At 36.2% G+C, this 27,722-nt stretch overlaps 2 protein-coding genes across 18 annotated transcripts in view, besides 1 other annotated feature; one reads left to right on the top strand and one right to left on the bottom strand.

The window, feature by feature from the left end:
* Nucleotides 1-3,382: 3,382 nt before the first annotated feature.
* Nucleotides 3,383-26,308, bottom strand: C4orf33 (chromosome 4 open reading frame 33). Of its 5 annotated transcripts, none has more exons than NM_173487.3 (6): nt 25,992-26,308; nt 17,229-17,418; nt 13,373-13,433; nt 10,662-10,713; nt 10,348-10,547; nt 3,383-8,334 (listed from the first exon to the last, which is right to left on the bottom strand). In NM_173487.3, the coding sequence occupies exons 2-6, from the start codon at nt 17,407-17,409 to the stop codon at nt 8,229-8,231; spliced, it is 600 nt and encodes a 199-aa protein (NP_775758.2). In that variant the 5' UTR covers nt 17,410-17,418; nt 25,992-26,308; the 3' UTR covers nt 3,383-8,228. The 5 variants fall into 5 exon arrangements, with proteins under 5 accessions (NP_775758.2, NP_001093253.1, XP_016863213.1 ...); NM_001099783.2 differs by lacking the exon at nt 25,992-26,308 and adding an exon at nt 23,811-23,868; XM_017007724.2 differs by lacking the exon at nt 3,383-8,334 and adding an exon at nt 9,678-10,029.
* Nucleotides 26,217-26,786: an enhancer, noted in NCBI's record as "active region_21902". NCBI's record gives its function as "activates an Ori minimal core promoter by ATAC-STARR-seq in GM12878 lymphoblastoid cells {active_cell/tissue: GM12878}" and the evidence as "EXISTENCE:reporter gene assay evidence [ECO:0000049][PMID:35858748]".
* Nucleotides 26,481-27,722, top strand: part of SCLT1 (sodium channel and clathrin linker 1) — a 220,299-nt gene continuing 219,057 nt past the window's right edge. For all 13 annotated transcript variants that reach the window (XM_047449590.1, XM_017007717.3, NM_144643.4 and 10 more), the window contains exon 1: nt 26,481-26,950. In XM_047449590.1, coding sequence (XP_047305546.1) covers nt 26,917-26,950 — 34 coding nt within the window. In that variant the 5' untranslated portion in view covers nt 26,481-26,916. The remainder of the gene's footprint in view (nt 26,951-27,722) is intronic.

Below are 27,722 nucleotides of genomic sequence, written 5' to 3'. Positions count from 1 at the left end.
AAAAGATAATACTGTGAACACTCAAGCGTTTAAATCTTGTTTTCTATAAACAGCATAAATTAATGGATTTTGAACTTTTGTGATTAGATTAAAAAAATAATTAAAACAATATATACACTTAATACATGTGATGCATTCTGATATTTTCTATATACTTCTCTGTTATATACAATCTACTAAAAGATTCTATAATCCACTCACTAATAGGTTTGTAACCTGGATTTTGAAAAGTCACTGATAAATTACTCTATTGTTTTTGAAAGAAGATAATCCTTTCAAGAAAAAAAAGGGTGACTTGTCACTGTTGCAAAGAGTATAATATAATGAAAGGAAAACAGATTCATTTACAATCTTTAGATTTTCTGCACAAGTGGACTATGAGATGACCATTCAGAATAAATTTTTACTAAATCAATCGTATTTCTCATATATAAAGATAAAAGGTTATTATAGTTATTGCAAGTTATTTAAGGGTATGAAGTTTTGCTTGTCAAAGGTTCCATGTCTTCTGAAGCTTGTCTTTTGATCTTTGATAAAAACAAGCTAGTAAAAGCATTTAGTACAGATGAGGCCTGGGATTTCTTTCTTTCTAATATTCCAGAACAATATGATACATTCCCTAACGATAATAAATGTTAAGAGAGTTGCATTCAGATTAGCCACTAGTCCACACTACAATAATGATTTTCATGTGTTACACTGCTGCAACAAATAATACTCTAGAAGAGATTAGGGGGAAAAAAGTGGTTCCCTTAGTGAGTGGCTTATTAATAAGGAGTGGCTTGAATACTCATCTTCCGTATTATGTACTACCACATAAAAGTGAAGGGCTTATGAACCTCTTTTCTCTTCTACGCTGTTTTTATTTGTAGAATAGGGGAGGAAGAGATCTTGGTTTAATGGTTTTATCTTGTATTATTTTATTAAATATATTTTTCTCACCATTTTCATACCCTTCTTCTTGAGTGCCTATAATATGAATATTTGTTCACCTAATGGGGTATTCTATACATTCTGTAGGCTTTCTTCATCCTTTCAAATATATTTTTCTTTCTTTTGTTCTTTTTTCTTTCTTTTTCTTTTTTTTTTTTTTTGGATGTGCCTGTGTTATTTCAAAAGATCTGTCGTCAAGTTCAGAAATTATTTCTTCTGCTTGTTCTAGTCTGCTGGTGAAGCTCTTGATTGTATTTCTTTTTTATTGCATTCTTTGAATTATTCAGCTCTAGGATTTCTGTATGGTTTTTAATGATATCTCTTTGTTGAATTTCTAATTCAAATCATAAATTGTTTTCCTGATTTTATTGAATTATCTTTCTGTATTCTCTTGTATCTTACTGAGTTTACTTAAGATTATTATTTTGAATTCTTTTTGTGGCATTTCATATATTTTCTTACGATTGGAGTCTTCCTGGAGAACTATTGTTTTCCTTTGGAGGTGACATATTTCCTTGCTTTTTCATAGTTGATATGTCCCTATGTTGATTTCTACACATCTGGTAGAAAAGTCACTTCTTCAATTTTATGGGGTAGGTTTCATAGAAAAAGAGCAATTTGTATTAATGGGTCTTAGAGTGTCAGTTGGGTGGGGTGTGTTGGTCTTCATTTCAGGTGGATGCAGTAGTGTAGCCTCCAGGTAGTTTCTTTAACTGAAATCCACACTAGTGGTGTTTGTGAGTTTTTCAGTGGCCTAAGCTGAGAGAATTTGTGGTGACAGCGGTGTGCCTTTGCTGGGATTGGGCTCACCACCCTATTTCTCTGGTCAGGGGTACATGCATGCATACAGTAGGTCAGCCACCTTGGGGTCTGTCTTGCCATGGTTGAACCCACAGGGCTGTTACACTGGCCAGAAGCACAGACAAGTGGCTGCTTCGTTGGCTCAGGGGCATGTCCACTGGGGACAGCCCATGGGGCTGTTTCTCAGGTCTGGGACATAGGCTCTTGGCTGCTTGGCTAGCCTAGGGATGTGTCCACCTATTTTTCAGGTCCTTATTGGGAGCACAGGGCCAGTGGGAAGGCCCAGGGGTGTGTTTGTGGTGGGGTTAGGGGAGGATGTGAGGGTGCAGGGCTGTTTCTCAGGTTCTGAGTGTGGGCACATAGCCGACTCCACTGGGTGTATCAGCTGCTCGGATGTTCAGAGACCTCTCCCACTTGGAAGAAGGCATGCAGCAGTTTGGCTGGCTCGAGGGCAGGTTCGTCCTGGGAAGGACTGGTATACGGTTCCTCCTGCCTTAAGCAGGGGTGGGGGTTGGTTTCTCTGCCATACAAGACCAGAGTCATAGCCAATCCTGAGCCCAGACTCCCCACAGCTGGGTTGTGAGGTTCAATCATCCATGTGGGTTTGGCATAATGAAGATGGAGCCCCAGTGCTGGAAAAGCACAGTGGCTACTGACCTCAGAGCAAGACACACTCCAGAGATGGCTCAGGTCTCAAGATGGCACCATGCTGCAGCAGCTTGGCTCACAGTGGGTGAGTAGGGGTGGGGAGTATACACCTTGTACTACTAATCCAGTGCAACACAGCTGCATAAATTCCCTGCAGCTCTCCAAGATGGACTCGGGGCTTACAGGAACTATGGGATTCTTCTGTTTAAGGACTATAGGTGTTTGCGGTGGCTATGGGGCTGGGGGACAGTGGGGATCTCCTGCTTATCCTTTTCCCACATGTGAAGTCTCTCCTGACTCCAGGTATATCTGATCCAGGCAGAGAAGATGAAGCTGCAGACAACAGGTACCTCCACCTTACCCTCGTAGACTTCCAATCACTACTCCTCCATCACACTCCAGCACTCTCCCTTCAACACCGTAGTCAAAATCTTAGCTGTTTATTCATTGCCTTGGTCCTCTATTGTGGTGGGAATGAATGCCAGGTGTTTCTAGTCAGCCATCTTGCTGACATCACTCTCAATAGCTTTATTTTGTAGATGAGTAATGAAGACTAAGAAAGGCAGCAGCATAGTAAATAAGTGCCTTCTCTTGAGAATCAAATTCCCTGGGTTCAAATCTGCTACTTCTTAACTGTATGATCTTGGGCAAGATACTTAACTCTGTAGGTCTTAGTTTCATTAACTTTAAAAATAAGCATTCCAAGAGTATCTGACTTTCTTTGAGATTGCTGTAAAAAGTAAGGGTAAAGTTCTTAATATAGTTTCTGAAAAAATAATAAGTATTCAATAAGTATTAGATATTTCAATGAGGCCACTTGCACTAGGTCAGGCAGCTAAAAGGAAAGCCCAGTCTATTGTGGGAGTATAAGACATTTGGTGTTTCTGCTGTGTATGCCAAAGCATACTAATGATATTTAGTGATATTAATGATATTAATAATATCACTAACTAATATTATCTTTTTGCCATTTTTCAAAAAACTAATTCAAAAACATACGTTTGTTTTTAGCATAATTTTTATTTCTCTGAATGCTCAGACTTCAATTTACAGTTTGGTTTTCTATTTCAGCAAAGCTATCTCTTCAAAATATATACTCTAGGTACTGCAGTGCTTTAGGGCATTATTACAAACATGGGCTTTCAGTGTACTATTGAGTCAGAAATGCTGTTTAACGGAAATTACAGGTGATAGGCTGCCAAAAGAAAATAAATTTTTACTAAACCTTGCATTCTCTGCGAATTTTTCAAGAGTGCAAAGTAAAAAATTTACAGAACACCCAAAGCTCTCTCAGGAGCCAGTGATGTAGCTATATATTATTTCATTGTAATTCAAATAAGTAGTAAAGTGAAATGTCATTTGACAGCATTTCCTATTTCTCCTTTATATTACATATTAGATTTATAAATATCAGACAAAAATTTACTCGTAGATCCCATTACATGGAAAAGAATATTTTAATTACTGGTTATTTATTATGAAATAAAATAAAATATGCACAGACACCCCTCACTTTTCATAGATTCATGATTTCTGGCTTCCTATATTCCTCATACATGTGTCATCTTAGCTTCAGAGGTAACTCTTTTTACTATTCCTTCCATGAAAAATGATAGTTGGTAAAAAATAGAGTTACAATAGTCAATTTTATAAGTTTTGCTCTTTCAGAGCAAATTAAGATAAGAAATTATCAGAAAATGAGTAGGGCCCAGGAATGGTGATTTAACAAAAAATATGCTACACACATACACAGCACATTTTATGCTCTCTCTCTATATATATATGTTATATATAAACATATATATTTTATATATATATATATATATATATATATATTTAGTTAGAAGATTTGTTAGGCACATATTCCTCTTGGACTTAGGTGCCTTAGGCTGGATACCCCTTCTACCCCTGACAAAAGCAGAGGGTTGTGTGCAGTGCATTAATTTTGGAATGTGATTCTAAGGAATGGGATTGGGAACTTTGGAAAAATTAAATAAAGCAAGCCAATCTAAGATTGCATTTTTAAGCTGATCAGTACTGTAGGTAACTGAAGACCCTAGTGGAGTCCTACTGGAGACCACTAAGGAACTATACAGAATGCACTTCAGAATTGTCTGCCCAAGGGACGGAAAAGGGGAGTATTTATCCACTGAATCCTGTCCCTATTGTCAATTCCCTCAAACTTCCAGGTTTGCATATACGTCAGAGTAGATTAGCAGATTCCCACAGGTGTTCCACATAACTGAGGTGTCAGAAAAGCACTAATACAGAAATCTAGAGATACATGGGACAAAAGAGGTAAAGTGCTATCAAAGAGTAAAATGGGTGAATTGAAAAATGGCCTAAGAGGATGTGAGGTAGGACACAAGAGATATTAAATACAGTCCACTCCTTGCAGCACTCAGAGCCACACACATTCCACATTGAGTCCAATCTGTCACAGAGTCTTCAAGGAAGTGGGCAGCCATTATACAAATACTAAATGCAAAAGATTTAGTGGAACAAGTTATGTGGCTCCTGTAACTGATTTCAAGTCTATAATTGATAGTTATCATCTCTCTCTTCCATCACAAATTCTGTATTTCTCTCACATTTGGCCAAACTCTTCAGTAGTTTCAAGTGGTTTGAATGGTGAGGTGACCTAGACCTTTATCCTCAAAGGGTCAGAGTCCTTAGTTGCTTTACCTTGTCAGGCTGTGGTTGCTACAGTTGCCCATTTAAGATTACCACTTGACATTGAAACACCAAAGGATGACTCAATGAATCCCCTAGGAAGGACATACTCTATACTGCTTCCATTAATAGTTATAACTCTAGCTCTGCATGGTAGCCCGCTTCTATTTGCCTGCTGAACAGTTGACACGAAGAGTCATTATGACTAGATGGCTTTCATAGCTTCAGGTGCCTCAGCTGCACCTCAAGCCAGTCTACCACTGTTTTAATAACTGTGAAGTTACTTATAGCAGAGCCATTACCACCAACAATGGGGTCCTTGTCACCAAATGCCCTGTGATACAATTCTAGATTCTCATCCTGACGAACGGCTTTCTAGGGCTGCTTTAGGTAATCACTGACTTAGCCTGGGTTCCCCATGAAGCAAACATAGGACAATAACTTCCAAAGAGGTTGACTGTAGTTAAGCAATTCCAGAGAGGAGAGAGGTACCAGGAAGAGCAAAACAGAAAATGATGGAAATGAAGGAAAGATAATGCAAAAATGTGTTACTAGTTGGCCACTGCTGTGGGTAATCAGGGTGGAATCCTTTTAAGAGAACTTCTGAGGAGCTGTGTGGAAGGGACCATAAATTGTTAAACTGAGGGATGTAACAGAGAAGTAGTTATCCATCAACTCCCACCCTCTTTGGTCAAGAGGTGCCCCATGGGGTGTTTTAGTCCCTTCACACATCCCGGGTAGTTCATGTGAGAGAATGGCTAAATGGGTTCCTGCAAGTGTTCCACACAGCAGAGGAAGCAGAGAAGCCCTAGGGGCAGGAAGTAAGACATACACAGTACAGCTGAGGCAACTGGCCAGTCAGTTCACTGTATGCAACTGATGGCTGGAGTAAAAAGTTAGGCTGAGAGGATAGGAGGTGGGTCAGAAGAGCTATCTAGGACCAGTGAAATAAATGCTGTAATAAAGCAATGTGTAAAATATTATGGAAATTTACATGGAAAAGAAGAGACAATCCTTAAGCTTTGAGGCATGAGAAAAGGGCTGAGGGCTTACTGTAATTGCTTTATCCACTTGCTACCCTTTCTTTTTCAATATCAGATTAATTATGCTCATTATCTTCTGTCCTCCAAAAGCCTAACATTTAAAAAAGGAGCAAAAGGAGGAGAAGGAGGGGAAATTAAATGTTTTTTTTCCTGTGGCAAAAAACCTTTTTAACGTTTAAAAAAAGTAGTTTGGAGCCAAAAATAAAAAGCACATTTCCCTTCAGACTGTGACTTACACTTTCCTGGAGCTGGGAAAAAGCATGAGAATGCACCTGAATAAATATGCACATTGTGTAATCTATTTAGGTGGTGAGAAGAGAGAATCTGCTTGACACTGCAGTGAACAATTCAAATCACAGCAAAGAAATGCATTTATGCATATTTTAAACAAAAGGATGATTATTCTTTCATGGTCCTGAAGTTGAAAAACAAATTTGAAATGGCTATTACAAACACCCACTCTCAAATAAAAGTTTCTTGGATACAAGTTTCTAGAATATATCATTTGTACCTGACTAATGGACAAGCTTTCCGAAATTCTGTAGTTGATATGCATGTTCCTTTCAAAAGAAAATGTTTATATAATGTATTTTTGCTTGCTTGGTATTGGAAGAAAAGGAAATGCCTTATCTAGATGAAAGAAAGTTAAGAGATGTTTAAAAAACATCTAAACAAATTTTAAAAAGATACACATTAGATTTGAGAAAGCTCACAAGCTACAACATTCAAATTCAGTATTTTATATTGTTGTGATTGTATCTATCATATTTGTGCTTCATTTTTATCCATATTATAAATAGTTATGATTTATATCTGAAACTGTGATTCACAGTGTTCGATTCGCTTCTAAAATCAAGATGCTCTAAAATATATCTTGTTTTTATTTTGATAGTTTTATATGCATTTATAAAATTATTCAGGTAATTTATAAATAAATCGTCCTAGGTTATTTAAAATATGCCATTCGTATCTAAAACAGGCAGATCGTTTCTATATCAAATTAATTAGTTGCTATTGTCAGTTTTAAGAATAATTTCTCAATTTATCTAAGATGCCTAACACTGCCACCATGATGTGTAGTCAGGATACTTAATAATACCTTTTGTAAAAGTTAGCATTTATCTTACACCAGCTCTCTTTTTAGATAGAGAACATATATAAGAAATGAGTAAGTCGATAAGCCACATTTAACCATCACTAGTGATTGTTCAATGGAAACATATAAACTCAATGTAAACTTGAAGTTAATTCCATTTAATTTACAGCTTATTTTATAATAGTATTTTATTAAGGAATTAATTTACATATAGTAAAATCACAAATCTAAACATACAGCATGAGGAATGTTGACAAATATATGCAGCTACATAACCATCATCCAGATCAAAATACAAAACATTTCAATCACCCCGGAAAATTTCCTCAGGCCCCTTTTCCATTCAATTTGAATTCCCTGCCCTCACTCTAAGCAGCCACTGTTCTGGTATCTATCATCAAATATTAGTTTTGCCTGGAAGTGGCTTTAATATAAAAGTAATTAGATAGTATGTTATGTTTGGTTTGTTTTGCTCAACTTAATGTTTTTGAGATTCATACAGGTTGTTGCATGTATCAGCAGTCCTTTTTTAAATGAACAGTATTCCACTGACTATATTGTAGTTTGTCTATCCATTTTCCTATGGATGGAAATTTCACTGTTTACAATTTTGTGCTATTATGAATAAAGCTGCTATGAGCAGTCATTTTTCTGGGGTATATATCTAGGAATGAAATGGTTGAATCACAAGGTAGTGCAAGACAGTCCTCTAGGTGGCCTTGGACAACCTCAATTGTTCCCCCTTTTTCACTTGTAGTTTTCAAGAATAACTGTACTGTGTGCTGGGAATGCAACATCCTGGACTAAGTGACTCTGAGAAACATTGTGACTTTACAGATGAAATCATCTACAAAGAATCATATATTTTCTTGTTAATCATATACAATTTGCCACAGATACTATATTTTCAGTGACTTCTATGAAGATATTTGTTGTTGAAATGTATGCATGACATCTTAAAAAATTGATATTTATTTTTTGTTTATCTTAAAAGGTATAGAGGAAAAAATGATCGGTATGGTTATCTATTACTCCTATATATCACATTTCTCTATTAGCCACAGGTCTGATTCCGGTTGTTTCCACTCTTCTCCAAGCAGTGTGTTAAAATTGAAAGACTTGAAGTATTCTAGGCAATGGCTAAAAGCAAAGAAAAAGAAGGTGGGAATTGAAATGAATTATGCATTTGTGAAATAGTTGTCCTGAAGGGCTATTTATTTTGTCACAACTGTAATACAACATTCTATTTTAAGCAATACTAAAGGTAAGATATATTTTATATGTACAGTTTTCTCACTCTAGCTGTCAAACACTCAGCTCTGAAAACATTCACCTGCATCTCAAAGCACTCTTCTTTCAATTCTGCAAATAACTCCCTCACAGCTGAAGGGAGAAATCAGTTCTCAAAACATAACTCATTCCATCCAGCTTTAAACAAATCATATTATGCTCTTGCATATGTTTTTATATTCAAACTTTGATATAATTTATATCAGTCATATAAGCAATTGTTTTGAAAAGTTTCAGTTCCATTGATAAGATAGACTTCTTAATTCCCTTCTCTGCTGAAGCAAGAGAGGTTAATGTAAAAGAGTATTAATCCCAGTTCTTTTCTTTCGAGGAAAACCACTTAACTACATTAAGAAGCTTTCTCTTGTGGCTTAATGAGGAGAGAAAGGCTTAGCTAACATGCTGCAGTGGAGCCCCACTCTGTAGGAAGTCACTCTGCCTTGGCTCTGTCCTGGCCAATGTATAATCGTACTTCCACCTAAGATAAGCTTCCAAATAATGTATGAATGAAGAGCCTGAATATAGGAAGGTATTAGCTGATGAAGAGCCAGAGAGACATGACGTCTTGATATGAGGACCTTGAGTCAGTTGCAACTACATGTTTGTCTCATTCTGCCCACCTGGCCAGGATAAGTCAGTTTTTGAATCACAATTGTCAATCCCAGAGTAAGAGATTAAGGAAAAAACAGTGAAGGATAAGAAAAAGGAAGGGGAAAAAAGACTAGGTAAAAGCTATGTCAGGATTGGGGAGAAAGGCAAAGGGAAAAGGGGAAAAAATATCAAGCAAAATAAAGAAATATGCTAGAAGTGATAAAGACAAAGAAGCATAAAGTAAGAGCATGGCAGGAAGGAGAAGGCAAACAGGGAGAGGAAGGACGATGCAGCACATTCCACAGGTTAAAAGGCAGGAATGTCCATCTACCATAGTGCAATGCTCACTAGGATGTTTCTGTTAGGTTCTTCCAAATGCCCAGACTCACGAGACTACCTTGGCCATAGTGAGTATACCTAGAGAGATATAGAGCAGCAATCACAGCTTGCCCCAGGACAGCATCTGGCTTTCCTCCCTAAAGGAGTAGTCCTTGCAGAAGTCCATGAAGCATTCATAAGGCTGGCCAGGAGCTCTAGTCTGCCTATGTGAGAGCTACAGGTGCAAGGAAACAAGACTCAAATTGAGAAAGCATAGCAGATAACTTGGCTCAAATGCCTGCTGCCCCATGAGAGCAATATCTCTTGGAATAACTCCATAGCCATAGCTTCCAGGGTTCCCACAGGGAACATGACTGTTACAGGGGAATCCCAAAGCCATGCTGTCTCCATCATATATTTATAGTTCATCCAAAATTATTCTCAGTCCAGATGTAATTTGCCACTTAAGGGTCATTTTTATCGTAAGCAGTGTTGCCTAGAAACATAGTTGATATTTTTATCCTTATGAGGTTACCAGAAGAGGAGAACTAGAGAGATAACTGAAGATTAGATTTCCTTGTAACAGGGGACTGTTTGTTCACACCAGGAAACACTGATGCCTCTGGCCCTTTAGCTCTGAAAGAAATTTTAAATGAATTTGTGACCATACTTCTATATCAGCTATTACAACATTTACTTTTCTCACATGCAAACAACACTTTTCTCATACCACTATGGAAAAATAAGTGCTCTACTGACAGTAGTGAGAGAGATTATGACAGTCCAAAGTTTTCCAAGTATTTTCTGAGGACCATCAGTGAACATTGGACTCTACTAGATACTTGTGCACATATGTCGTCTTCTTTGATCAAAAGTGTTACTTCTGCTCCACTAAGAATTAATTTCGAAAAAACTCGTGTATTTGGAACATATCTTCATTTATTTTCTACTTACAAATCAGGTTTTTGTCCTTGCTGCAGTTCATGCTGAGGTACAGGGTAAAGAGCTTCATAACTTCGTTTATCTTTTGATCCATGAATTGCAAATGAATTGAATTTTGTCACATTTGGTGGAAAATAACTCCAAGGGAGATAAGCTTTGCCTTCCCATTTTGTCTCTCCTCTGGACATTCTGAACGATAAAGGAAGTTCTTGCTACAGAAACAACATGTGAAACACAAAAGATAAAATTGGGCTTACACTTTAAACATAGAAATATGTGTATTACTGTGTACGTAATGATTTTGCCTCCTATTTTTATTTACTTACTTTCCACACATTTCTTCTTCCAGAAAGTAAAAGCACTAAATGCTGTCCGTGGCTGTCAAAATTAAGATTCCTCATGAGTGTTTGAAAAACATGAATGTTATTTTCTTCACTATCCTTTATACATGGAATGTGTGTGCTTGCAACTAATTTTCCAAATAATTAAAAGATGCAGGCTGAGCATGGTGGCTTACGCCTGTAACCCAGCACTTTGGGAGGCCAAGGCGGGTGGATCACGAGGTCAGGAGATCAAGACCATCCTGGCCAACATGGTGAAACTCCGTCTCTACTAAAATACAAAGAAAAAATTAGCCAGGCATGGTGGCGTGTGCCTGTAGTCCCAGCAACTTGGGAGGCTGAGGCAGGGGAATCGCTTGAACCCGGGAGGTGGAGGTTGCAGTGAGCCAAGATAGCGCCACTGTACTCCAGCGTGGCAACAAAGCGAGACTCTGTCTCAAAAAAAAAAAGATGCAATATTAATATTGGATAATTATAGGGAGAGCCAGTGTGTTCAGTTGCTTAGAAATGACATCTTTGGGTTTACCACTCTCCAGACAACTGCCACCAAATGCATAAAGTTTCATGTTTAGATTGCTTTTTATATTCTTTAAAGAAACAATTATATAAAATACTTCATTTGGTTAGATGATACAAAGTATGAAAAAAGGTCAGAGAGATACCATGTTATTTGGAGTTTTTTATAAAACGAGTTTCAAAAACTAAAGCAAGCAACAATTTCCAAGTCTGAATTCAACCACTTTAATAAAGGTTATTTCTGTAAGAAAACTATCTGGTAGCTCATTAGGAAAATAAAAAATGCAAAACATAGACAGTCTACAACTAGTCAACAGGCTAAAGATTTTAATCTTTGTCTATTTTTTTCACACACGGTCCTCAACATGTCTGCCTCTTGTGTTTTCCTGCTTTCTACCATTCATTCAGCATCATGTTTTCAAAAAGGAACACAGTATATTTTCCAAGGGAAATTCTAATAACAGTGTACAATTGGGACTAGCCAGGTCATTAAGAACCAAAGGATTTCATGTATTTACATGAAGCAAATTCACTAACTCTAGAAAAACCTATATATTAAAACATTTCTATACAGGTACTCTTTTGAGAGCTTTTCAGGGAGGATTTCCTTCAGTAAACTATTCTAACAGAAGCCAAGTATTCTTTTCCATTTGAAAGTCTTCTGATTATTTTTATTGTTATTATGCAGCCTTAGGAGTACATCCTAGGAGTAAAAATTCTTGCAAATAAAAAAAATTCTTCCTGTTGCTTTCCTAGAGGTTAATAAACTGTTACAGGAAATGACTGCTTGAAGCAAAACTATGATTCTTGATTATTAACTATCCTGATACATAAGAAACCAAACTACTCTGTGAATTTTTTTAACCTTTAAAATCTATTAATTTTATACACAATGATTACTGTGTAATTTCTTAACAAGAGAGAATCTAATTATTCTATTCATCTAGTGTTGACATCACTTTATGAAAATGAACCAATATTATCATCTAATAAAATTAAAACTAAGGGCAAAATTTTAGGATATCCAAGTTCTTTACTGTTCTCTAGACAAATTATGAATGTTTGCCTTAGTTTTCTCACCTGTAGGGTAAAAATAAGCACACAATAGTTGAAATTTTCTTACTTCTCATGGCAGTTTATGAGAATTAATCATATTTTTCAATAACAAATTTTGGCATGTTAGTTGAAATGTAACACACAAAGGTATATGATTACTCTTCTTAAAAAACAGAACGCAAACAGCTAGACTTTTCTACATTAGATTTAGCTGAATATCAAAATAAAAGAAAATAAAAGAATATCTACAAATCTCATTTAAATCAATTGTTTGGAGCTCTCTGTCCAGCCTACAAAAGGAGCAATGGCTTCTGAATGTTAGACACTGAGAGGCATTTAAATGGCATTTCAAATGAATAACTGCAATATAAAGAAATATTTCATTATTAAATACTTTATTAATTTTAAATGTGCTATAATTTAGATAATAGGTGTACATCTACAGGAAAAAAGAAATAGTTTGCCAACCAGGTAAACAGGATTCCCAAGAGACAGTTAAACCTGAACAAAGAGAGTCCAAGGTTAATATTTGTAATGAGTCTAAGAAAATCTATATGTGGTTTAGTTTTTAAACCCTGGCACTGAATGCAAAAGTGACACAGCATATACTTAATAAATGCATGATGAATAAAGAATGAATACATGAATGCATAATTATGTAATACATAAAATTAAAGTTTCATCTAGTCATTTAAAAATCCCCTAAAAGAAACATTTTTATAAGCTAGCTCAATTAATTATACCCATATCTCTCCTTTTATTTCCGAACAGCTATATTATAATAATGCAAATTTATTGCGTAAATAATGAGAGTTTTTGTTTTATAATGACTTTTCGTTTTGAAAAAAATTATCTTGAAATTTATTACAAAAATCTACATTAATGAACTGAAAATATTGACATAGGATTTTCAAACATTTAGAATATGAGTATATTCTAAACATACATTCTAAATATGTGCTCTGTACTTGAAACTAAGAAATATATAAAAGCATATCATTCAAGCAAATTCAGAGTACCATTCTTACTCTGGAATTAATGAGCTTTTACTATATCATTTATAACTAGAAAATAACACGTTCAAATTATGTAGTAATAAGTAAGAAAAAACATTTTATACTTACGGACAAAGTTCAACTTCTAAATATTGCTCAGTTATATCATTCAAGAAAAATGCTTCCACAACTTTTGAAAACAGAGATATAACATATTGAGATATTTAATATTGCTTTCCAACAATAAATAATTTATTCCTTTAGAATATAAAATGAATTAACTATTCTTAATTATAATACTATCCCCAATAGGAAAAAGAGCAAAGAAAATAGACATTGCCTGGAAGAAGAAATATATAGGAAATAAATCATCAACAATTTTCTCACATATCAGATTGCCACATATTGAAAAGATTAATTAAAACTAGTGCTGGTCAGGTTGTAAAGAAATTAACATTATCACATAAACTTTGAGCCAGTTATCTTCTTCTAGGAATTTATCTTAAGAAAATAATCTGACAACTGGGAAAAGAATTAAGTATAATGCCATTCATTAGAGTACTGTTCAAAAATTAGAAATGATCTAAATGATTATCTCCTATTACATAAGATTATCTCTTATTCTCTAAATACATCTCCTATTATACAGGAGAACTGTTAAGTAAATTATGGAATTCATATATTCCATAAACAATGGAATACAATGCAGCTATTAAAATCAAAGATACCATTAAATATTTGTTGATATAGGAAGATATCCATGATATTCGATAAGTCAGCTGCAGAACAGCAACCAAAATGTGCATGACATTAAAATTGCATGTGTGTCTATGTCTAGATGTCTGCAAAATGTGCACAAAAATGTTAATGACTGCATATCTGTGATTGCAGGAATTTAGGTAGGTGATCTTTCTTTTCTTTTTTATAATTTTCTGGAAATTTCTGAATATTGCTATTTTTAAAATTGTTTAATTTTGAACATATACATCTTTCTTGTAAATAATTAAAACAATATATATGAAGTAAAAAGTCAAAGTCCTTTTCTTCCCCTTTGGTCTAAAACCTGCCAGACCTTTTCTATGCTTCTACATACTATTTTAATGACTGAATAGTAGTATTTTATAGAATATTATAACTTACTCACTTAATCCTTTATGGATAGACATTTAGGTTGTTTCCAATTTTCCATGTGTTATTTTTATAATAAAATAGCTAAAATATAGACATAATTCTGCCAGCAATTCAGAGAATCTTATTGTCCCTTTTTAAATCTTTTATATAGACAAATTAGAATGTCTACTGTGATAGTTAATTGTATCTGTCAACTTAACTAGGCCATGGTATCCAGATATTTTGTAACATATTATTCTAGTTGTTTCTGTGAAGCCATTTTTTAAAGATGAGATTAACATTAAAATCAGTAGACTTTTAGTAGAGCAGGTTTCCCTCTATAATGTGGCTGGGGCTTATCCAATCAGTTTAAGGTCTTCATAGAAAAAAAGACTGACCTCCCTCAAGAGAGGAATTCTACCAGCAGACAGCCTTCAGATTTGAACTGCAACATAGACTCTCCAGCTGGCTGACTGAAGACCCAGGGAAGAGTGGGTTTTCCAGCCAGTTGACTGAAGACCCAGGGAAGAGTGGACTTGCTAGCTGCCACAATTGTGTGAACTAATTTCTTAAAATAGATCTCTCTCTTTCTCTCCATATATATAAAATAGATAGGTACATACATACATACATAAGCACACATACTCTCTCTCTCACTATACATACATGTGTGTATATATATCACACACACACACACACACACACACTCAGATGCACATATATATCTTCTGCTTTCTACTTTCCATCATCACCTTACAAATACTTTTGCAGCTTCTCTGTATTAAACACTATATCAGATTCTGGAAATACCTTTATTGGCTTACAATCTAATCAGATACTAAAGTGGAAAATTTTAATAAAAGTTCCAAAATGGAGGATGCATGCATTGCTACAGGAAAAAATAGAAACAGATGTTTAGCTCAAAAAAGTGGTTTAGTGAAGGATTCCAGGAGAAGTTGCTATTTAAGCTCTGTCTTGAAAGATGATTTGGAACTAGGTGAAGAATGATAGAAACAGCATTCTAGGGCAAGAAAACAGTAAAATCAAGGGTACACAATTAGGAAATATTGTAGCTTATTTAAAGAACTATGAACAGTTCAGTCTTACCAGGCAAACCTTTCAATGTAGGAGAAGCTGGTGGTGCTACAGAGAATAAGGGGCCAGGTCATGGAAAGTCTTATACAGAGATCATATTAAGAAGGACAAAACTTACCTTGAGAGGAAAAGGATCCTGAGAAGGTTTTTAGGTAGCTGAAGGATGAGTTTAAATTTTCATTTTAGATATAGCAGTCCAGCTTCTAAATGAAGAATGGGCTTAAGGGCTAAAAGACTATTTAGAAGGCTCTGCCCTAACCAAGGTAAAAGATGATGAAAGCCTAACTTTTGGCAAGGATAGTGGGGATAAAAGAGGAGATACTGAGTTAGAGGAATATTTAGGAAGCAAAACTGATGGGACTTAGTAAATAAATCCAAATAAGGGAGAGTGTCAAAGAAGGATATCTTAGAAAGATCTCACAATTTTTTAGATTTGGTGATTTAATGTATTGTTAGTACCATTTATTGATATTGGACAATTAGGTAAAGAACTGGTTTATGAAAGAAGTAGGTGAGTTGAGATTAGAATTTGTTGAGTTTCATGTCTGTAGTGCCTCTAGAAGGTAAGTCACATTAGTGTGTATTCCATTAGGAAGATGCTATATACCCGTTTTGTATCAATAAAAGACAATATATATTTAACATATGACAAATTAACACTGACAAAATGTGTGCTTACAAATGGCATAAACTAGACATATTGACTAGAAGATTCATCAAAATCTTCTTTGAAGAAATGGGACATGAATTAGATCTTGAACTATGCATTAGAGGCAGGGGGAATAGAATGAGAAGGTACATAGGTTAAGAGCTTTTGGTTGAATATGGTGGCCCAATTCATAAGTGTGCTGAAAGCTTAAAGGAAGGGTTTGAACTTTATCCTAGGGATAGTAATGATTTATCATCTGGGAAATGGCATCATGAAGAGTATTTCAGAAAGATGAATCTGATAGCTTAATTAGGATACAGTAGAAGGAGATCATAGAGCAAACCTGAAACTAATTTTATGTCATGTCTTAATTTGATATGTGAGACGAGTTGCCAGGATAAAGTAAAAACTACATTTCGTATTGAGGTTGATAGTGTTTCTACAATAAGTAAAACACTCCAAATCTTCCATAAAGAAGATTTGTAATGTTAGAGTGGTAATTTAAAGATACTTAAATACAAAACAGGAATCCTGAACTCTTCTCAGCATAGGTAACAGAAATAAAGGAAGAAAATAAGGCAGCAATAAAAAAATCTGGATTTGTGGCCAGGCAAGGTGGCTCACGCCTGTAATCCCAGCACTTTGGGAGGCTGAGGTGGGCAGATCACGTGGTCAGGAGATCGAGACCATCCTGGCTAACACAGTGAAACCCTGTCTCTACTAAAAATATAAAAAATTAGCCAGGCGTGGTGGCAGGCGCCTGTAGTCCCAGCTACTAGGGAGGCTGAGGCAGGATAATGGCATGAACCCAGGACGTGGACCTTGCAGTGAGCCGAGATTGCACCACTGCACTCCAACCTGGGCAACAGAGTGAAGCTCTGTCTCAAAAAAAAAAAAAAAAAAAAATCTGGATTTGTAATTGCCATTTTTTAACTGTTTTTGTTATATAGTTAAAGTCACACAGGTAATGGAGAAAAAGTCAGAATGAGAGATTGGTAGGAAATATCAGAAACTGTACATGTCAATTGCTCAGAAGCACTTACTTCCCAACAGCAAGATAAAATAATAGTTCTGTGAGAGGTTATTATAAGAAGATTTATGTTTGCAATAAAATACAGTACTTCCACTTACCTTCATAATCCCACAGTTCATTGAAAGGTTTTCCTGGTTCTCCAAGTGGGGCTGGAGGATCCCTGAAAAATGGAGCACTAATGTCCATCATCACTCCTCTGTCACCTGGATTCAGCCTGATAAATACGGGCTCATGCTTCACTGGAAAACCATCCCAAGTGTGTTCAATTTTAAAATCCATCTGAAGTCTCTAAAAGAAAATATGTTAAAACAAACTCTTTAACAATATACAAATGTTTTCTTTAGTTGGAAATGAAATGAAAATTTCAATGCCAAACAGCAGACGGGAAAGGCAGCAGAGTGGCAAGAGCACAGTCCTGGGAGTCAAAAGGCTATCTTGTGTTGTGCCAAAGCACAGACTCTGAGTTCTAGTCTAAAATAGGTAACTAGTTCCTAGAGGTTTTAAAACTTCTAGATTTAACACTTTTTTATTTAACTTTGTTTTTAATTGCTGCCATAGAAACACTATCGACCTCAACATGAAAAGTGATAAAAGTGTTAAAAGTCTAGATTTGGCTCTAGTGCTGTTGTAAACAGTGCATCAAAATCATTTTTTTAATTGTAATTAAGTCTACTGCAAAAATTGTTAATATACTTAACTGTAACTATAAGCACCATGGGTTCTTATGTCATCCTTTGTCTTTTATTTATTGTAAAGTGTGCAGGTGTCTCAGTTACTGGATCCTCTGGGAATCAAGATCTTTATAATAAAATTCAACTTAGTTAAAAAAAAACTCCATAAATCAGTAGAAGAAGTGCTGTTAACACCTGTTCTTTTGGCCAAAATCCTTTTCTTCATGGGGGTTGGGGATGGGGAGTTCCAATCATTTAAAAGTTAGTAGAGTTGAATTTTGCCTTCCTTTGTCCCAGCATATACACTTTCAGTTTTAATATTTTAACTGTTAAATGACTGCTTGCTTGGTTAATTACCTCTCTCCAACTGAAAAATGGGAACAGAATCTGCAATCATTTAAACTTTGAAATAGACTGAGTACCTACAAAAAAGCAGTTTTTGCATTTTAAATTAGTATTCTAAGTATTCAATAGAAGGACACAGTCTTGTAATGCATTGATAAAATCACATTTTTGAATACTATGGATTGGGCATTTTCTAAACATTGTCTCATTTAATTGCAGTACAAACTTGCAGAGAAACTATTACTGTCCTCATTACAAATGGAACAGATTTGTCCAAGGTCACGTGACTAGCATATCTAGAAATTAAACCAATGTCAACAATGTTTTCCCAGATGAAGACATTTCAGGAATCTGCAAAGAGGTGAAAATTTTATTTTAGGAGTGGTGGACCCCCCAAATTATACTAGATCCTATGTTTTATCCAAAAGATAATCTCACTTAGTACCTGATAACCTTTCCAAACTGTAACTTCTTTTATCTGAAATCTTTGAATGTATTCCTTTGCTTCATAAGTTATTTACAGTCTTTTACTATAATTAATGAAGTTACTAAATTTGGAATAAATTTAATTCAGTGAATACGTATTGAAAACCTCCTACGAGCTAAGCAGTGGGAGATCCAAATGTACAAGCTCTGTGTAACATAAGAAATCCAAGACCTCTAAAAACCTTTCTCTAAAACGTATAGCTTTTACTAATTTTCACTATATGCTCGCAAATTTTACTAGATAATCTCTAAAATTAAACAATTCTGGTATTATAACCCATTTGTAGAAAGCTAATAGCATTTCAGAAGAAATGTTCAGCAACTCATATTCTTCATTATTGATAGAAGCTCAATGAGTGATAAGACTATATAAATTGATTCGGATTTAAGTGGATTGTATGGAATAAAATACCTCAATAATAAATTTATTTTCTTTAGTTGAAACATCAAAGCACATTCTACAAAAAAAATGTGTAATCCTCTATCCTAAATTTTGGTAGTAATAAGTATCCTCATGCAGCATATAGGAAGAAATATGAATAAATCAAGACGTTAGAAATGCTGAATGACTGATTCTGACACCAATAGGCTGAGAGAAAATGCTATTCTCCTAATTTAGAGCTTGATAATTCTTGACAATTTTGGCAATATATACCTTAGCTACTAGGAAGTTCTGGTAGATTCACTTATTCTTCATACAACCACCAAATCCACAAAAATTCTGCATACATTAAAGAGATCCCTATCTTAATCAGTGGGTTTCCACTAGGGACTTCTTAATTCCCAGCACATTCAGGCAATCAATTCTATGTCTAAATGGAATAAAACCATATCCAGTGATATCCAGTGATATCCAGTGATATGCTACTAAAAGTGGCCTATCATTTCCATGCACACATGGTGGGTCTCATGGTCAGAGTGTGGTAGACTTTATAGCAGGTGTGTCCAATATTTTGGCTTCCCTGGACCACATTGGAAGAAGAAGAATGTGTGTCTTGGGCCACACATAAAATGCACTAACACTAACAATAGCTGATGAGCCAAAAAAAAAAAAATCAAAATACAATCCATAATGTTTACGAATTTGTGTTGGGCTGCATTCTAAGCTGTCCTGGGCCACATGTAGTCCATGGGCCTTGGGTTGGACAAGCTTGCATAGGTTTCAAATTACTTCAAAATGTAATTTTATCTGGAAGATAAGAAGTAAAAGATAAAAGCAAAGTTACCATTGTTAAGAATTAGGTAGTGAGTACCTCAAACCTTTCTACTGGTTCCTTCTGCTTTTCCCCCCTAAGGTTTCTTTGAGCATTATTTGAAAATTACTGCAAAAAATAGTGACTAGACTTCCACAAGTAGGGAATAGTGCATGGCTGATCAGTCCAAAGACAGAATATAATTTTGGCTTTAATTGCATAAACAACTTTCGTTTCTTATTGCAATGACAAATTTGTTTTTTTTTTTAAACTTTATATCGCTTAAAGAACACTGACGTCAATCTAAGAATGCATAATATTTATAAAAATTAACCTAAAAAGTATAGTCCGTCCTGCCCAGTAGTTAACAGTCTAGTTTAAAACTAACATAAACTAGAGACAGATGATTCTCCCTCTGTAATCTTCTGAGATTTAACCCCCACAACCTTTCAATTTCTTTGTATTTGAACATGTGTTCATTAAGTAAAGACAACTTAATTGTCAATGTCCTTCACCTCTTGGGCTAGCGCTCCCCTCCTGGTCATTCTCTATTAACCTATACACTGCTCTATTTCTATTCTTACATGGCAATTACATGGCATTACATATTTGTTTATTGACTCCCTGAACCCAGCTAGAATGCCTATAAGTGATGGTTACTATTTATTTGTTGAGTGAATAATTTTTCTAGTCCCTGGATCTAACACTCTAGATTTTGTGCAGGAGAAATCTACTGTGTTCGTGGTATCATCATCTCATTTAACACTACATATCAGATCAATACAATGGCTAATAACAAAGATAATAAGCCCAGAAATTCCCTTCAATTTAGTTTATCAAGCATTTATTAAGCACTCATCTTATTTCAGGTACCATACCAGGTGCTGGGGAAATAATATATAATAAGTCTACAGGAGTTTGGGATGGTTCTCATGTAACTAATCAATGAGGTACCCGTTTCCAACATCAGTTGGTTCATTTTGCAGTCCAATTTAATTCAGTGGGATCCTTATACCAAAGTAAGTTTTAGATGAATCAAAGATTTAAACATAAAAATCAAAATCATATAAAAACAGGAAATAAAAAGAGAGTTAAATAAAATCTTATAGTAGTAAGGTAGGAGATGAGCTGGGCTTGTTTTCTGAGCACCAAGGTCCCACTGATTGAAACAGAATCTTATCAAAACAAGATGCAGCAAAGAAACTGGCCACAACCAGCTAAAACCAAGATGGCAACAAAAGTGATCTCTAGTTGCCCTCACTGCTCATTATACATTAATTATAATGCAGTAGCATGCAAAAAAAAACTCCCAACAGTGGCATGACAGTTTACAAATGCCATGGCAACTCCTAGAAGTTACCTTATATGGTTTAAAAAAGGGAGGAACTCTCAGTTCTGGGAACCCTTCCTACTTTTCTGGAAAATGCATGAATAACCCACCCCTTATTTAGCATATAACCAGGGAATTGTATGTATACAGCTGGCCAACAATTCATGGGAGCTGCTGCTCCTACTCTGTCTATGGAGCAGCCATTTTCCTGTAGTTTGTTGCTCTGATAAACTTGCTTTAGCTTGTGAATCCTTTCCTGCATGAAGCCAAGAACTCTCCTGGGCTGAGCCCCAAATCTGGGCTTTCCCTGCATTAGTAGAGAAAACCTTTTAAAATACAAACCAAAACCCAAACATTTTACTACATAAATATAGCAAAACTAACATGGATGCAGCTGGAGGCTATTATTCTAAGCAAATTCATGAAAGTACAGAAAACCAAATACCACATATTTTCACTTATAAGTGGAAATTAAACAGTAGGTACTCATGGACATAAAGATGGCAACAACAGACACTGGGGACTACTAGAGGGGGGAGGGAAGAAAGGGGCAAGGGTTGAAAAACTAACTACTGGGTACTATGCTCACTACCCAGGTGATAGGATCATTCGTACCTCAAATCTCAGCATCATGCAATATAACCATGTGACAAACCCGCACATATATACCCTGGATCTAAAATAAAAGTTGAATTTTTTTAATAATAGATAAATAATAGTAAAAAAGCAAAAACCTCCTTCCCAAGTTCCCTTTACTCCAAAAGCCTATCATTAACAAAATCAAAAGTCTGGGGAAAAGTATATGCAATTCATACTTGATACAAATAACTAATTTCTTTAATGCACAAAGAGCTCCTAGAAATCAATAAGGAAAAGACCAACACTCCAACAGAAAAGTGACCAAAAATTATGAACAGCCAGTTCACGGAGAGAAAATGCAAAATGTTCACTTATAATGACAGAAATGCAAACTAAAACCACAATAAATTACCATTTTTCACTTAGATTGGCAAGGATCAGAAAGTCTGACAACAAGCTGTGTTAATGAAGGCATTGAGAAAAAAATCATTTATTGCTAGTGAGGCATAATTGATATAGCCTCTGTGAAGAGCAATACGTCAATATCTATCAAAATAAAAATGCAACTATCCTTTGACAAAAATAAGTCTAGTTCTAGGAGTTACTATACCTGCACATATTCAAAATGACATAAGCGTTGAGGATATTTGTGGTAGCATTGTTCATAATAACAAAATGTTGGAAGCAACTTAAATACCCATCAGTAGAGGACTGGTAAAAAAAATTATGCTATACCATACAATGAAACACTGTATAACTGCTAAAATGAATGAGGCAGCTCTGAATTAACATCTATGCTAAAATATGTTGTGAAGTGAAAAAAAGCAAGGTGCATTTATTTAATAAAAAGGAAGCTTATTTGCATATATGCTTGTGAGGCATACACTATCTCAGGAAACATCCAAGAAACGAGTGGTAACAGTGGTTGCTTCCCTGAAGGGAATTATCTGCCTGCAGATATGGGAAGGAGGAAGGCTTCCTTTCAACTTCATCACTTTTTAAAAACCTATCTGCATTTTACACTATGACAGACATGCATTACTATTTTAAGGTAACTGAACAGTTTAAAATTATTTTTTGGCCGGGCGCGGTGGCTCACACCTGTAATCCCAGCACTTTGGGAGGCCAAGGCAGGCGGATCACAAGGTCAGGAGATCGAGACCATCCTGGCGAACATGGTGAAACCCCGTCTCTACTAAAAATACAAAAATTAGCTGGGCGTGGTGGCACGCGCCTGTAGTTCCAGCTACTCGGGAGGTTGAGGCAGAAGAATCGCTTGAACCCGGAGGCGGAGGTTGCAGTGAGCAGAGATCGCTCCACTGCACTCCAGCCTGGCAACAGAGCAAGACTCCGTCTCAAAAAAATATATATATTTTAAGTCTAATTTAAGGCCGGTTCTCTTAAAAAGAGTATGGTGGCTGCCTCTTCTCCCCTTTATATTATATATGCTGAACGTTTCCGAAAAGTCATAATGCATATTATCAAGATGATTACTGTCCTGCAATGCAATTTTAAGTTTGGCTGTTTAGACTTTCTTAATACAATATTTATTGTTACTCTGTATGTTTCTACTTTTAACCTCTATTCTTCAAATTGCTCTTAAAACAAGTTAAAAAAATAAATTTTCAATTGTTCTGATTGCTTTATCTTTACCTGGAAAGACCTCTAAAAGGAAACGAAGGAAGAGAAAGGAGACCGAACACTGGAGCATTAAGAACCCAGGAAAAGAAAAAATGTCCGCAAAGTTTAAAAGAAATAAGTTATGGTAAAGGTGTTTTCTCAACCAAATGATCTGCAAGGAAAATTTCCAAATTCCTCTGCTCAACAAAAATTTCTTTAGTTTTTCTACAATAATGATTTCTTTTCAGTTTCCATACCTCCCCGAGGCCCCGCCCATTTATCAGGGAAACGGAGAAATGAGGAAGTCAGCCTGAAAGGGGGAGTACGCTCACTTAGCAGGAGACAGCTGAAAAGTAAAATACTTTTCAGTATTTTCCAGAGATCAAGCGAAAAACAAGACCTGGCGACGACGAAAGGAATGTCAGAGAGAAGAGGGAACAACTAGAGAACACAGACCACGAAGCTTTTCTCAAACACTGGCTTCTTCTTTTCAGCCGAGGTCACAGGAGAGGGCTCGGCTTTAGGCTCCACCCAGCTGCCTACACGTTCTGGGGGAGGGGCTTAGAACACTGAAGCTAAGACGCTTGATTTTTCTAGGAAAGAAAGATGTTGAAGGGCCACACATGAACAACTGAAGACTTCTAATCGTTCCACTAAAGTATGAGTGGTTTCCTAGAAGAAGGAAGGGTGATTCAGAAATATAAATACTGTGCAATAATTTGAAAATCAACTGTAAATCATTAAGATTACAATATAACATGTACAGAAATATTTCATTTAATACAACTAAAGGCTAACTGGCCATATAAGCAAAAACTATAAATTATATTATACCAGCTATAAACTATATTATACTATATTCCTGGGGAGGCATGTTCATAGCAGTTAACAATTGTGAAATTAGAACCATACTGCCTGGGTTCAAATCTCAACTCAGGCACTTGCCAGCTGTGTGATCTGTTCTGATCCTTGCTTAAACTTCTAACTTTGTATTCTTCCTGGTACTTTGCACATAGTACTGGGTGCTCAATGTCAATTGATCAACCAAATGAATGTTAGTGAAATGTCACTAATTTTCAATCTATACAACTTTAGGGGTTTTCTTTATTGCAGAAAAGTCATATAAAAACATTAAATGGTGGCTTGACAAGAGTTACACACAAACTACATACATTTCTGCTTGTCATTCCTTGTATTCAATTTATACTAATAGATACTTTTCATGAACATCCACTGAATTCTTTCATTCCTTCCATCAGATATTTAATCAACTCTGTGTTCCAGGTATTATGATGGAGCCTGGAGACAAACTACAAAACATGACAGATAATGCAGGAAGGAGCATGAAGTAAGTACTAAGGTGGCACCTACCTTGGGAGAAGTGGATAAAGAACTCAGGAGATGTGAAAAGGAGGAACATGAGAGGGGATCCTTTAAGGATAAGTGAAATCATCACAATTTTGTTTCCTAATGATGAAACTTATGTTGAAAATACTCCATTAAAATTCAACTACTAAAATCTTGTAACCACAAACACAAACGCAAAAACAAAAAACTATCATGATCATAATTATGATCATGTAAGCTAAAAAATTCGAGTGCAGACATAAAAGTTTTCACCTGAGATATTCACTTTATGTAAATACCACTCATCAGTTATAGCCAGAAGGTATTTGCTTCCATCCAGTTTGGGTGTAAGCGTAGAGTTAAGTCTATAATTATTTATTTGATGCCAAGTAGAAATACGACAATATACAAGGTTCAAATGTGGGAGAAGTTACAAGCAAGTCCTTGGAGAGTCAGTGAGATGTTTATGAAGAAAGAGTCATATACTGAACTTCAAAAACGAGTTGGACCTTGCACACTCAATTTTCCCTTAGCTATAACGTTTATACAAAAAGTTTTTGTGTAAACGTTATAGCTACTAAAAATCAGAACAAGTTCAATTATCACCAACTCAAAGCTGGATTAGACCTTTTCAATGATTATTAAGCTACACATCCATATTTAACAGCTAGTCTTTAGAGGAAGGGACCATCTCATTCTATTAACAGTGAGTATTGAGTAAGGCCTTCAGATGCCTAACTGCATATATTTGAATACATTTTTAAAATTTCTTAACACATATCGCTAAGGTTACTTTGTTTATATGACATTATGAGTACGGGACAACAAAACTCTTAAGCCGTTAAACAGAAAGCCAAATCAAGCTGCATCTATGACATGCCTGTTTAGTGAAACTTTACTTCAGTCCATAAAAATACAATTTATTAAAAGCACAAAACTAGTGGCTAGCTTCAAGTTAACATTTTTGTTGCTAGTGGTGAGATTTCCTCTAATGTTAAATGATTTTTTTTAAAAAAATACGTTTTAAGTCCAGACAAAATTAATTTTCAAAAATGAAAATTGTAATCTATCCACAAATGTAAGTTTTACCGTTTTGTTTTTTGCAAAAAAAAGTACCTTTTATCTTTCCTTATATTTGAGGAAACAAGCTTATCTTTGAAGAAGTAGCTGCTGAATTTGCAAGATCTTTTGAGTACTTCTAACTACACGCTTTATTACTACACAGTTAAATATTTAAACAACAGTTGTCTCCTTTGTCTAAAGACCCACAAAGACCGAGAAGGTACTTACCTTCTTGAGATGACCAAATCCAAACCTAGAACTCCTCCAGAGGTACAGCCTTGGTGGGAGATTCTGAAGACGCCAGTCTGGCTTCTATCCCTAGCCGCAGGAACCTGCATCTTTTACTTAGTCCAGAAAGGCTTAGTATATTAGTAACCCAAAGATAGTGAGGGCATTTAAACTGTGTATTTCATTCTCTACTCACGTTTGCATTTTGGTTTTTTGTTTGTTTGTTTGTTTGTTTTAAAGAGGTTGGGCCTCACTACCTGGAGACACTGTCCCACCAGTTTGGCCGCCGCGCCAAGCCGGTGGCTCAGCCCGCTGTCATCCAGGTTCTCACGACTCCTCCCATTGCTTGACAGCCAGCCAATAGCGTGCTAGGACTCTAGGACGCGCGATGGCGTAAGCTCCAACGCCCGCGTGATGACGCAAGAGGCGCCACCGTCTCCAAGGAGTGGTCCGGGGCACCGGTTTCAAAGTCGCAGGGCGGGCCGAGTGGACTTCCGCTGCTGGCCTGGGGCTTCCCAGCCGTCTTGGCGTTGTCCTCTCCAACCCCCGCCGCTCCGCGTAGAACGCCGCTCTCAGGCTGCCGTCAAGCTCCCGCGGCACTCTCCTAGGTGGCCCGACGAGACCCAGAGTGACCCGCGGGACGCCTGTATCGACCGCGTCCTCTTCCCACCAGCGTGGGATTCGGTTGAACGTGGAGTCCCCAGCAATCTTCAGTCTCTCACCAGGGCCAGGGACTCGTCTGGGGCGCGGGGGAAAGAAGCGTGGCGGGGCTGTAGATGCCGCGTGAGTAGGATGCAGATTGCACCGCTGGAGCGCTTGACAACCAACCGAGCGTTGGCTTAGTTTTGTTTTCCCGCACAGCAAGCTCTCTGTCTTTCAGAGGAAGGTAAAGGTGGTGAAAGCTCTAAACTAAAATTGTATCGAAATGGCTGCAGAAATCGACTTTCTGAGAGAGCAAAGTAAGCTCCATGTTTTTTTGAGACTTCATATACAATGTTTAATATCGTCGTCGTTGACCGACAAATCTTTTTTGAATGCTGGTTGGGTACATTTAAATTGGTAAAGAGTTAAAGAAGTTAGTTGCAGGAAAAAAAAAACCTTGATGTTATACGTGAGGATGTGTGTATATTTAAGCAGAACCGTGTGGTAGTACTTGTAGCTTACACAGAATTCTACTAGACGCTAAACATGTTTGTTATGCTCCTCTCGTGCTCTGAAGATTAGAAGGCTAATGGCCAGCAGGAGTTTCCAAGTGTGCATTTAAAATCTAGGGGCACAGCTCTCTGGCCATTTATTAAAAAGATGTTTATTGAACTCCTGTTTCTATTATGTACCAGACACTATGGAAGAACAGCTGCTGCAAAGATAAACAGGACAGTTTTTACCTCCAAGAATTTAATTTGGGGAGGGAAATGTATTCCAAAATATATTGAAGTGACAGCAACTGCTGGCTCTTTTGCCACAGTCTCATAGGGTTGTTGGAAAGATTAAATGAATATTAAAATATGTAAAGGATTTAGAATAGTATCTGATACATTGTGTTAAACAAATATTAACTATTACACGATTATTATTAAAATATGTTCAAGGAAGGTGCTATTGGGCTGAAACGTGCAGTACAAATATGAATTTACTATATGAAAAACTCTAGGCATCCCAAATAGAACAATATTTGTGACACTGAGGGGATTAGGAATATGCTTTGTTAAAGACTTGCAATACGGCTGGTTT

The sequence above is a fragment of the Homo sapiens genome, chromosome 4 (genome assembly GCF_000001405.40).
Source record: "Homo sapiens chromosome 4, GRCh38.p14 Primary Assembly".
Taxonomy (NCBI): Eukaryota; Metazoa; Chordata; class Mammalia; order Primates; family Hominidae; genus Homo; species Homo sapiens.
This window is presented reverse-complemented; position numbering and strand designations above follow the sequence as displayed.